The following is a 13904-nucleotide window of genomic DNA, read 5'->3' on the forward strand; positions in this document are numbered from 1 at the left end:
TTCAGAAGAATAAAGGTTTACACTGTAGACTGTCATTGTGAGAAGAAAATGACTCCTCCCTCTGGCCTGAGCTATTTTTGTAACTAGGAAATTTAAGAGAAAATGAACAATATAGTCAGAAGAGCAGAGAAGGAGGAGCATAAACTCTTGCCCCACACCTCTGGGAACCAGCTGATTCAGACCACTTTCCTCATAACACGCATGGACTTGCTTATTTTGCTCATTGATTCATTTAAACTTCAATATACACTTTTGTCCCCTAGGATGGCAGATCCCAATTAGAACTGAAATGACTTTCTCAAATGAGATTTCCCAGAATCATATAAAAAAAAATATTACTGTTAACTATAGTCATCCACTATAGTTAAGAATATTATATAGATTTAAATGGCTAGAGGTGAGGTTATTGTATGTTTTCAACACAGACATGATAAATGTTTGAGATGATGGATATACTAATTATCCTGATCTGATCACTAAACATTATATGTATCAAATCATCACTATGTACACTGTAAATGTGTACAATGATTATTTGTCAGTTGAAAAATTAGAAAAATAGCCCCCAGTAAAGTTCAATCTCAAAGAAAAAGCATATCCAAGAGTAGTACAATAAACACACATAAACCTAAACCCTATATATAATTATTAACATTTTGTCACTTTTGTGCTTGTATGCTCTCTCTCTGTTGCTATTCAATGTAAGAACAGCTCTCTTGGGATATGTGGATACTAATGGCTCTTAGCAGTCAGAAGAAATCTTAAGTATTACCTTCTCATGTACAGTAGGAAAAAAATATATAACATATATGTATATTTTTGTTTTCCTGAACAAGCTGAGAATTCGTTGCAGGTTTCCTGGTGCTTGCCTCTTCTGCCTGTGTTTGCTAGGAAATGGACATTCTTTGACATAACCAAACATCAATATCACACTCAAGAAATCAACATTAACACAACACTAGTATCTAATTTCTTGTCCATATTCAAAATTTCACAATTGTTCCAAAAATGTCCTTTATAGGTGTTTAAAAAAGTTTGAAAAATTAAAAAATTAAAATTGCATTGGCATGTCATGCCTCTATGGGTCTTTAATTTAGAACTTTTTTTTTGTCCTTTTGGCCTTTTGAAGAGTCAAGGTTGGTCATTTGACAGATGTCTAATGATTTTCTTATTATTCAGATTAAACTTTTTTTGGCAGAAAACTACAGAAGTGATGTTGTATATTGTCACCCTAGGGTATCTAATTAGGAGACGCATTAGGTCAGTTTGTTCTTTTATTGGTTATGCTAAATTTGATCTTTTGATTAAAGTGAGGTCCATCAGATTTCCCCACTATCAAATATACCTTTCTTCATTAAAATTAATAAGTAATTGAAGGAGAAATAATTTCAGATTGTGTTACTATCCTGTTCTTCAACAGTCTTTCATCTGTGCTTTTGGCATCTATTACTAATTATTATCTCAATCAATTATTACTATGGTGGTTGCAAATGGTGATTTTTGAATTCTATTATTCCTTCTTAATTTATTAGTTAGAATTATTTTGCAAAACAGAGCTTTTGCTTGTCCACTCCACTTAAAATATTATTTATTTATCATTGTTAAACATATAAACATGACCACACACACATATATAATATATATACACATTTTATATTTGTATGGAATCATGAATTAAAAAAATTCATTTTGTTATTATTTGTTTCTGCCATTCTTCATTATGATACTTGAGTCATAATCTTTTAAATTTAGATCCACACTAACTTATTCCTGCTGATGGGAATGTGGGATCTGTGTGACTGAGTCTAGCCTGGAACAGAGCTTTCCTGGGACATACTAACTATGGCTCTTAAGAGGTGAAGAGATCTTAACCATTACCTTCTCATGGACAGTAGGAATTATCTGCACAATGTCTTATATCCATTGGTGGGAAGAGTCTATACTATTCTATTTGCTCTCGTCTCTGGAATGCCTATCTTCTTCCCAACAGAGATGCCCTTATGCTTCTGATTCATCACACATCTTCTGCCATCTGGTGGTAGGTTGCTAAGCAAACAAGAAGAGACCAGGCAAAGTCTTTACAATATTTGGAGAACACAGTAGGACCTGTGCTGTCCAGAAAACATAAAATGATGGTGTCCAAATGGCAGGTCATTTTTTAAAAGTAGGACTCTTAAATGCATGTGACTTTTTGGAAGAAGAAAGAAGATGAGAAGCATTTATGGGTCTCTGTGCTGAGGTCTGTCACAAACGCTACCCAAGTTAAACCCCAAGAAGTTCTAGGAGGTAGATGCTATTATCCTCATTGTATAGATCAGAAAAGGGAGAATTAAATATTTTGTCATGGCCATGCATCTTCTAAGTGGTAGAGACAATATTTGAAACAAATTTACCTGACTTTGAAGCCTGGATTCTTTCCTTTCACTGCACTGACTCTAAAGTGTATTTGTTTTTGTGTTTGTATGTGTGTGCGTGAGTAAACATAGAGGATACTATCTGCTGTGTAAATTAATGAAGGCCTTCCAAAATCTCAGATGAATATAAACAATTAAAAATATGTTAGAATATAATAATATATTCCTTTAAACACTTTTTTTTTTAAGACAAAGTCTTGCTATGTTATCTAGGCTGGCTTCAAGCTCCTAGGCTCAAGGGATCCTCTTGCCTCAGGCTCCAAGCATCTAGGACTACATGTGCTTGGCATCATGGTGGGCTTACTTTTCAGGTGCATGCCTAATCAGATAATCACTAATATTAGATATCCTCATTTCCATAATACATTTGAGATAGGCAGGACAGTCAAGTCCTGCCTATCTCAAATTTTAAAAAGGCTGGACTTAGGAATCATTGTGTTACTGTGAATACTAAATTAGGTAATATATATAAAGTTAACTCAGGGCCTGGAGAAATTCTGCTTAGCAAATGATGACAATTGCCATTATTAATTATGAGAAGAGTTAGTGGGAATACTTTTAAGCCAGTAAATATTTCTGAGGTCTGAAGACTTTCTTGACATGTCTTCTTAGAGATGCTTCAATAAGTTAGTCTTGTTTTTTCTCCTTGACCCTACTTCGTATTTAAATAAAAGTGGTTTTTGGCCAAACAGTTCCAGGGCCTCAGTACTTGCTAATCAGACATTATCTGTGATTGGTATATGGAGACTCTTAACTTTTTTCTTTCACTGCTTGTTGCTAACTAGAGTCCCCAGAAACCACCTCATTTGGAAAGAACAATCGTTCCAGATCATCAGGACTCAATATGTGATGAATTTTAAATCATTTGAGGATAAGCTTATTTTAGGCTATATTTCTAAGGTGCATTGTAGATTTTGATGTTTATCTCAATGTTAAGGAGACAAAAAAATGAAGCATTGTCTTTCATTATCTTCAAATATTCTTTGATTTGTTTTTGCACGTACATATGCAACTCTCCCTTTACTTATAGTTTATCAAATAAAAATGCGTGATATTTTATTTGCTCTACTTTTGATATATCTTACTGTATTTCATCATTTAATAGAAAACTTTGCCATAGATTTACTTAAAAATATTTATTGCACGTCTATCGTATGCCAGGCACTAAGTCATATAGGGTAGGATTTAAGAGAAAAATTACTTAATGTAAAAATCCATGTGCCAAGCACTGTGCCTGGTATACACAATATACAATTAAAAAGATACGGTGTTTTCCCTCAAGGAACTTTAAGATTGGTTTATCATCACAACTTAATGAAATTAATATTATTAAATACATTTAATGGGAGATGAGGAAACTGAAGTTAAAAGAAGTTGAAATAACTTACATAAGGTTACATAAGAAGTAAGTGGCAGAATAATAATTTGTGTTAATTAAATATTTTATAATATTATATTTTATTTCCTAAATTGGTTTTTGAACTGTATCTCTTTGTTTTCTTAAGACATTGATCTGAGGTTCAAATATGCATTTTTAACTTATTACAGTCTATTTAGAATCAATATTACACAGCTTTCTATAAAGTATAATAATCATATAATAATATACTTTTATTTTCCCTCTTTCAGCCTTTGGACTATTTTTCTCATACATTTTATTTTATTTTTATTTTTCCAGGTAGCTACCAATTCTAGTGTTGTGCATTCCTTCATATAGATCCATATTTTTTTTTTCTTTTTATTTCAAAAGGTTTTTGGGGAACCGGTGGTGTTTGGTTACATGGATAATTCTTTAGTGGTGATTTCTGAGATTTTGGTGCACCCATCACCCAAGAAGTATACATTGCACCGAAAGTGTAGCTTTTTATTCCTCACCCACCTCTCATCTTTCCTCCCTAAGTCTCCAAAGTCCATTGTATTGTTCTTATGCCTTTACATCCTCATAGCTTAGCTCCCACTTATGATACGATACTTGGTTTTCCATTCCTGAGTTACTTCACTTAGAGTAATGGTCTCCAACTCCATCCAGGTTGCTGTGAATGCCATTATTTCATTCCTTTTTTATGGCTGAATAGTATTCATATCTATCTATCTATCTATCTATCTATCTATCTATCTATCTATCTGTCTATCTATCATCTATCTATCTATCCAATCTCACATTTTCTTTATCCACTCAATTGACGGGCGTTTGGGCTGGTTCCATATTTTTGCAGTTGCAAATTGTGCTGCTATAAACATGCATGTGTTTTCATATAATGACTTCTTTTCTTCTGGGTAGATACCCAGTAGTGGGATTGCTGGATCCAGTGGCAGATCTTTTAGTTCTTTAAGGAATCTCCATATTATTTAACATAGTAATTGTACTAGTTTACATTCCCACCAGCAGTGTAAAAGTGTTGTCCTTTCACCACATCCATGCCAACATCTATTATTTTTTAATTTTCAAATTATAGCTATTGTTGCAGGAGTAAGGTGGAATATCATTGTGGTTTTGATTTGCATTTCCCTGATAATTAGTAATGCTGAGTATTTTTCATATGTTTGTTGGCCATTTGTATATCTTTTTTTGAGAATTGTCTATTCATGTACTTATCCCACTTTTTGATGGGATTATTATTTTTTTCTTGCTGATTTATTTGAGTTCCTTATAGATTCTGGATATAGTCCTTTGTCAGATGCATAGTTTGTGAAGATTTTCTCCAAACCTGTGGGCTGTCTGTTTACTCTGCTGATTATATCTTTGCTGTGCAGAAGCTTTTTAGTTTATTAAGTCTCATATATTTATCTTTGTTTTTGTTGCATTTGCTTTTGGGTTCTTGGTCATGAAGTCTTTGCCTAAGCCAGTGTCTAGAAGTGTTTCTCTGAGTTATCGTCTAGAATTTTTATGGTTTCAGGTCTTAGATTTAAGTATTTTATCTATCTTAAGTTGATTTTTATACGGGGTGAGAGATGAGGATCCAGTTTCATTCTTCTACATGTGGCTTGCCAATTATCTCAGCACTATTTGTTGAATAGAGTGTCCTTTTCCCACTTTATGTTTTTGTTTACTTTGTCACAGATAAGTTGGCTATAATTATTTGGCTTTATTTCCGGATTCTCTATTCTGTTCCATTGGTCTATGTGCCCATTTTTATAACAGTACCATGCTGTTTTGGTGACTATGACCTTATAGTATAGTTTGAAGTTAGATAATGTGATGCCTCCAAGTTTGTTCTTTTTGCTTAGTCTTGCTTTGGCTATGTGGTCTTTTTTGGTTCCATATCAATTTTAGGGTTGTTTTTTCCAGTTCTGTGAAGAATGATGATGGCCTTTTGATGGGAATTGCATTGAATTTGTTGATTGCTTTTGGCAGTATGGTCATTTTTACAGTATTGATTCTACCCATCCATGAGCATAGGATATGTTTCCATTTGTTTGTGTTGCCTATGATTTCTTTCAGCAGTGTTTTGTAGTTTTCCTTGTAGAGGTCTTTCACCTCCTTGGTTGGGTATATTCCTAAGCATTTTATTTTTATTTTTTTGCAGCTATTATAAAAGAGGTTGAGTTCTTGATTTTTTTCTCAGCTTGGTTGCTGTTGGTGTATAGCAGTGCTACTGATTTATGTATATTGATTTTGTATCGTGAAACTTTACTGAAGTCATTTATCAGATGTAGGAACTTTTTGGATGAGTCTTTAAACTTCTCTAGGTCTACAATCATGTCATCAACAAACAGCAACAGTTTGACTTCCTCTTTGTTGATTTGGATGCCCTAAATCTTTCTCTTTTCTGATTGCTCTGGCTAGGATGTCCAGTACAACGTTGAATAGAAGTGGTGAAAGTGGGCCTCCTTGTCTTGTTCCAGTTCTCAGGGGGAATGCTTTCGGCTTTTCCCCATTCAGTATAATGTTGGCTGTGGGTTTGTCATAGATGACTTTTATTACATTAAGGTATGTCCCTTCTATGCTGATTTTGCTGAGGGTTTTAGTCATAAAGGGATGCTGGATTTTGTCAAATGCTTTTTCTGCATCTATTGAGATGATCATGTGATCTTTGTTCTTACTTCTATTTGTGTGGTGTATTACATTTATTGACATGTGTATGTTAAACTATCCCTGCATCCCTGGTATGAAAGCCCCTTAATCATGGTGTGTTATCTTTTTGATATGCTGTTGGATTCTGTTAGCTAGTATTTTGTTGAGGATTTTGGCATCCATATTCATCAGGGATATTGGTCTGTAGTTTTCTTTTTTTGTTATGTCCTTTCCTGATTTTGGTATTAGGGTGACACTGGCTTCATAGAATGATTTAGGGAGGATTCCCTCTTTCTCTATCTCATGGAATAGTTTCAATAGGATTGGTAACAATTCTATTTTGAATGTCTGATAGAATTCAGCTGTGACTCCATCTGGTCCTGAACTTTTTTTTGTTGGCAATTTTTAAAAATTACCATTTCAATCTCACTGCTTGTTATTAGTCTGTTCAGAGCTTCTGTTTCTTCCTGGTTTAATCTAGGAGGGTTGTATATTTCCAGGAATGTATCCATCTCCTCTAGGTTTTCTAGTTTGTGCACATAAAAGTGTTCATAGTATCCATGAATGATCTTTTGTATTTCTGTGGTATTGGTTGTAATATCTCCCGTTTTGTTTCCAATTGAGTTTATTTGGATCTTCTTATTTATTTTCTTGGTTAATCTCGCTAATGGTCTATCAATTTTGTTTATCTTTTCAAAGAACCTGCTTTTTGTTTCATTTATCTTTTATATATTTTTTTGTTTCAGTTTCATTTAGTTTTGCTCTGATCTTTGTTATTTCTCTTCTTCTGCTGGGTTTGGGTTTGGTTTGTTCTTGTTTCTCTAGTTCCTTGAGGTAAACTGTTTATTTGTGCTCATTCAGACTTTTTGATGTAGGCATTTAATGCTATGAACTTTCCTCTTATCACTGCCTTTGCTGGATTCCAGAGGTTTTGATAAGTTGTGTCACTATTATCATTCAGTTTAAATGTTTTTTAAATTTTCGTCTTGATTTCATTGTTGATGCTACAATCATTCAGGAGTTATTTAATTTCCATGTATTTACGTGGTTTTGAGGGTTCCTTTTGGTGTTGATTTCCAATTTTATTCCACTGTGGTCTGAGAGAGTACTTGATATGATTTCAATTTCTTCAATATATTGAGACTTGTTTTGTGGCCTTGGAGAATGTTCCATGTGCTGATGAATAGAATGTATGTTCTGCAGTTGTTGGGTAGAATGTTCTGTAAATGTCTGTTAAGCCTATTTGTTTTAGGATATAGTTTTAAGCCCATTGTTCCTTTGTTGACTTTTTCTTGATGACCTGTCTAGTGCCATCAGTGGAGTAAGGAAGTCTCTCTCGATTATTGTGTTGCTGTCTATCTCATTTCTTAGTTCTAGTAGTAATTGTTTTATAAATTTGGGAGCTCCAGTGTTAGGTGCATATATATTTAGGATTGTGATATTTTCCTGTTGCACTAGTCGTTTTATCATTAATTAATGTCCCTCTGCCTTTTTAGCTGTTGTTGCTTTAAAGTCTATGGGGTGGGGGGGCATAGAGCCCTCAGAAGATTATGTTTTTTGTCTTTAGCTACCAAGACGGACAGAGAAAGACCATTTGGTGGGGGCAGGGTTAGGCATGAATGAGCTCAGACTCTCCTTGGGCAGGGCTTGCTGCGGCTGTAATGGGGGATGGGGGTGTGGTTCTCACCCCAATGGAGTTATGTTTCTAGGTGGATTATGGCTGCCTTTGCTGCATCATATAGATTGCCAGGGAAGTCGGGGAAAGCTGGTAATGACAGGCCTCACCTAGCTTTCACGCAGCCAGTAAAGCCAGTCTCACTTTCACTATGCCCCACCAACAGCATCAAGTTTATTTCCAGGCAGCCAGTGAGCAGGGCTGAGATCTTGCCCCAGGCTACAAGGCTACCTACTGTGAAAGCAAGTGGGGCTTTCAGGTCCCATCCCTCCCTGCCTGCCATGGCTTCTATGCTCATATCTGCACTTCCCATTCATCCCTGCCCCTGGATTCTGCCCAGGAAAATCTGTGCTTGGTCAAAATTATTACAAAGCTCAGCTTTGTAGTAATATTACAAAAATAATTTTAAGAAAACTAAAATCAGAAGTTTTCTTCTCCTTGTGGTCCTTCCCCAATTCCACTGAAAGCCCTCCCCCAGGACCCCTGAGAGATGAAGTCAGAAATGTCTTCCCTGGGGACTAGGAGGGCCTACAGGGCTCTTCCTGCTGCTTCTTGTACTTTTGTATTTCACTTGGCTCTCTAAATTCATTTCAGCTCTAGGTAAGGTTAAATCCTTCTCCTGTGATCTGGATTTTCAGGTTCTCCAGTGAGTATGTGCACTTGGAGGTGGATGTTGCCCCTCTCACACTTTGGGCATTCACAGTTTTCAGCTGTCTCATGGAGTTTGCAGTGGCAAGCTGCTTCTTTCAAAGAGCCTGTGAATTCTTTCATTTTTCTTGGTATGTTCCTGCAGGAGTTCTTGGAGCAAAGGCTTATAGTGTGAGTCTCCACATGCTGCTCTGTCTGTCTGAGTGAAGCTGCAACATAGTCCTGCCTCTTTTCTGCCTTTTATTTTTTGACTCTAGATCCCTATTCCTATATGATATCTTTTTTATTCTGCCTGAACAACCTTTCTATTAAAAATTATTTGTTGTACAAGTAGTGAGTGCAGATCTGCTGGTAATAAATACTTTCAGCATTTTTATATCTGAAAAAGTCTTTATTTTGTCTTCAATTTTGTAGCATATATTTGCTGCATATAGATTTCTAGATCATCAGGGTTTATTTTTCTTTTTCTCTATTGGTATTTTAAAGACATTCCTCCATTATCTTCTTGCTTCCTTACTTTCAGATAAGAAATCTGCTCTCATCTTTAATTCTGATCTTCTTTAATGTTGCATGTTCTCCTGTCTCTGCTGGTGCTCTCAAAGTTTTCTCTTTGTCACTGGTTTTGACCGATTTAATTATGATGTATCTTGATATTTGATATGGTTTGTCTCTGTGTCCCCACCCAAATCTCATCTTGAATTGTACTCCTATAATTCCCACGTGTTGTGGGAGGGACCCGGTGGGAGATAATTGAATCATGGGGGTGATTTCCCCCATACTGTTCCCGTGGTAGTGAATAAATCTCACGAGATCCGATGGTCTTATCAGGGGTTTTCGCTTTTGCATCTTCTCATTCTCTCTTTGCCTGCTTGCATTCCATATAAGATGTGACTTTTTCCTCCTTGCCTTCTGCCATGATTATGAGGCCTCCCCAGCTATGTGGAACTGTAAATCCAATTAAACCTCTTTCTTTTGTAATTGCCCGGTCTTGGGTATGTCTTCATCAGCAGCATAAAAATGGACTAATACATTAAATTGGTACTAGTAGAGTGAGGTGTTGCTGAAAAGGTATCTGAAAATGTGGAAGCAGCTTTGGAACTGGGTAACATGCAGAGGTTGGAACAGTTTGGATGTCTCAGAAGAACACAGAAAAATGTGGGAAAGTTTGGAACTTCCTAGAGACTTTTTGAATGGCTTTGACCAAAAGCCTGATATGGACAATAAGGTCCAGGCTGAGGTGGTCTCAGATGGAGATGAAGAACTTGTTGGGAATTGGAGCAAAGGTGACTCTTGTTATGTTTTAGCAAAGACACGGGCAGCATTTTACCCCTGCCCTAGAGATTTATAGAAATTTGAACTTGAAAGAAATGATTTAGGGTATCGGGAAGAAGAAATTTCTAAGCAGCAAAGCATTCAAGAGGTGACCTGGGCGCTGTTAAAAACATTCAGTTTTAAAAGGGAAACAGAGAATAAAAGTTCAGAAAATTTTAAGCTTGACAATGTGAAAGAAAAGAAAATCCCATTTTCTGAGGAGAAATTCAAGCCAGCTGCAGAAATTTGCATAAGTCACGAGGAGCCAAAAGTTAATCTCCAAGACAATGGGGAAAATGTCTCCAGGGCATGTTAGAGGTTTTCACGGCAGCCCCTCCCATCACAGGACTGGAAGCCTAGGAGGAAAAAGTGGTTTCATGGGCCTGGCCCAGGGTACCTGAGCTGTGTGCAGTCTAGGGACTTGGTGGCCTGCATTCCAGCTGCTCCAGCCATGGCTGAAAGGGGCCCATGTAGAGCTTGGGCCAGCCATGGCTTTATATGGTGCAAGCCCCAAGCCTTGGCAGCTTCAATGCAGTTTTGAGCCTGGAGGTGCACAGAGTCAAGAATTGAGCTTTGGGAACCTCCACCTAGATTTCAGATGTATAAAAATGCCTGGATGCCCAGGCAGAAGTTTGTTGCAGGGGCGGGGCTCTCATGGAGAACCTCTGCTAGGGCAGTGCAGAAGGGAAATGTGGGGTTGGAGCCCCCACACCGAGTCCCTACTGGGGCACCACCCAGTGGAGCTATGAGAAGAGGGCCACCATCCTCCAGACCCCAGAATGGTAGGTCCACTGACAGCTTGCACCATGCACCTGGAAAAGTTGCAGACACTCAATGTCAGCCCATGAAAGCAGCTGGGCGGGAGGTTGTACCCTGCAAAGCCACAGGGGCAGAGATGCCCAAGACCATGGGAACCCACCTCTTGCATCAGTGTGATCTGGATGTGAGACATGGAGTCAAAAGAGATCATTTTGGAGCTTTAAGATTTGCCTGCCCTGCTGGATTTTGGACTTGCATGGGGCCTGTGGCCCCTTTGTTTTGACCAATTTCTCCCATTTGGAATGGCTGTATTTACCCAATGTCTGTACCCCCATTGTATCTAGGAAATAACTAACTTGCTTTTGATTTTATGGGCTCATAGGCAGAAGGGACTTGCCTTGTCTCAGGTGAGACATTGGACTGTGGACTTTTGAGTTAATACTGAAATGATTTAAGACTTTGGGGGACTGTTGGGAAGGCATGATTGGATTTGAAATGTGAGGACATGAGATTTGGCAGGGGACAAGGTGGAATGATATGGTTTGGGTCTGTGTCCCCATCCAAATCTCATCTTGAATTGTACTCCCGTAATTCCCACGTGTTGTGGGAGGGACCCGGTGGGAGACAATTGAATCATGGGGGTGATTTCCCCCATACTGTTCTCATGGTAGTGAATAAGTCTCATGAGATCGGATGGTTTTATCAGGTGTTTCTAGTTTTGCATCTTTTCATTCTCTCTTTGCCTGCTGCCATTCCACGTAAGATGTGACTTGCCCTTTCCTGCCTTCTGTCATGATTATGAGGCCTCCCCAGCCATGTGGAACTGTAAGTCCAGTTTAACCTCTTTCTTTTGTAATTGCCCAGTCTCAGGTATGTCTTTATCAACAGCATGAAAATGGACTAATACAATAGTTTAATTCCTATTTCTTATTTTTGGAGTTTTTTGAGTTTCTGTGATCTGTGGGTTTCTAATTTTCATCAATTTAGAAAAATTTTGGTCACTATACCTTCAGACATTTAAAAATTTCCTCCCTTTCTTTTCTCTTGTTTAGCAACTCCAAATATATAAATATTAAGCCACTTGAAGTTGGCCTACTGATGCTCTGTTAATTTTTGTAAATTCTTTTCTTTTTGTGATTTTTTATTGCTTCAATTGCTACTTCTTCAAGTTTACTAATCTTTGCTTCTTCATTATCTAATGTGCCATTATTCTCATCCAAGGTACTTTTCATTTCAGCCATTGTAGTTTTCATATCTTAAAGTTTGATTACCCCAGATTACTGGCTTCAGTCTTCCTCTCTTTTTCATATTTCTTTTCTCTATTTAACATTTTTGAACATGTGAAATACAGTAATAATAATTATCTTTTTGTTCATGTCTGTTAGTTCTAACATTAGTCTCAGTTCTGGGTTGATTTCAGCTGATTGAATTACCCCTTCATTAGGGATTATATATTCTGGCTCCTTTGCATACCTGGCAAATTTTGATTAGATGCCAAATGTGAATTATATCTTGTTGAGTGCTGGATACCCTCTTGGAGCCTCAGGGCTGATTATACGGCAGAGCTGAGACATAGATTGAAGTCTGTGTGACTCTAAAACGTCAAATGTGTATCATTTAGAGTAGGCTAATTGCTGTAACAAACTACTCTCAACTCTCTGTGACTGAATATGATAAGAGTTTATGAAAGTGTTCTCGTTCTCATCAATTCTGGTGTGAGTGGATTGTGCATCAGCCTCCAACAGTCCTTCCTTCTAGTGGCTCCACTTCTCCTGGGGGACTTGGAGTTCTCTGTTGTTTCACTTTATTAGAAGACAAAAGAAGAGAGTGTGGAGGATCAAGCTGGAAGTTCTTAAGGCTGGTAAGTGGAGAACATCACCTTTGATCACATTCAGCTGGACAGAAGTCAGTTCTCAAGCCCCACCTAACCACAGGGATGCTGAGAAATGTGGTCTATCTGTGTACTAGGAAGAAAAGGGACAGGTTTTGGTGAAAAAACTAGTTAGTCTCTACAATAACACATTAAACTAAATTCTCCCCTAAGTTGCTCTTTAGGAAGTGTTTATATGTTTTGCTCTAAATGGAATTTTTCTAGTCTCGGGCTCTGGATTGGTACCACAAATAGTCCCTCTAAGCTAGTGAAAGTTAACAGAAATCATTCTCTTAGAAGATTTGGATATTTAGTTCATGTATGTATCACATTGCCCCTCGTAGGGCCAATAATAATTATTATAATCTCCAATTTTAAGCAATATATTTTTATTCTTAAATTTTTGACATCCTAATCTACAGGTAGTATCTACATTACTTTAACTAAAGCATTACACTTACTTTCCCACCATTCCCTCCTATGCTGCCCCTCATATCTGAACCACCATGGAGTCAACACCTTGTTTTCTGGTTTTTGACTTGTGCCTGTGTCAGGTTCTCAGAATGATGACTTCCAGTGAAAACTCTGAGTCTATAAACACAAAATAAGTGTCATTTTATGCTCTGGAATTGCTCTGGAAACAATGCTAGTGATAAATGAATAGTCAAAAACAAAACAAAATATCAATATGGGGAAGACACATCCAATGAAGGCTGGCTTAGGTTCCTTTGGGAAATGGTGGTGACACCTGGGGGATTAAGAGTTAAGTTAGAAAGAGGCAAAGCTGTGAAGCACTTTAGCCAGATTGCTTTGCTCAGCCCACCTGAGTCTTTTGATTTCAGTACATCTTTCCCATCTGTTTGGTTGGAATGTTTGAACAAATACCCTGAATTTCATTACAAATGCACCTGCCCTAAACCAGGACCTCTTTTTCTTTCCCTGTGATGACACTTTCAAATTTTCTCTGTTTTTAGTATCTTCCTTCCTAATTCATCCTACACAGGGTGATAATTATCTTCTAAAAGTGCAGTACATGTCATGTCTTATTCTTGCTCAGAAGTTTCCAATGGAACTTCCCCATTTCCAAATCATGGCTCTACCCCATATCTTTAACTTTGTCTCTGTTTTCTTCCCTCATATGCCCTCTGATCCAGCCAAACTGGTGTCCTTTGTGTTTTCAGAACTTGCTGCATGCTTTCCTATATCCATGCT

The sequence above is a fragment of the Homo sapiens genome, chromosome 7 (assembly GCF_000001405.40).
Source record: "Homo sapiens chromosome 7, GRCh38.p14 Primary Assembly".
Taxonomy (NCBI): Eukaryota; Metazoa; Chordata; class Mammalia; order Primates; family Hominidae; genus Homo; species Homo sapiens.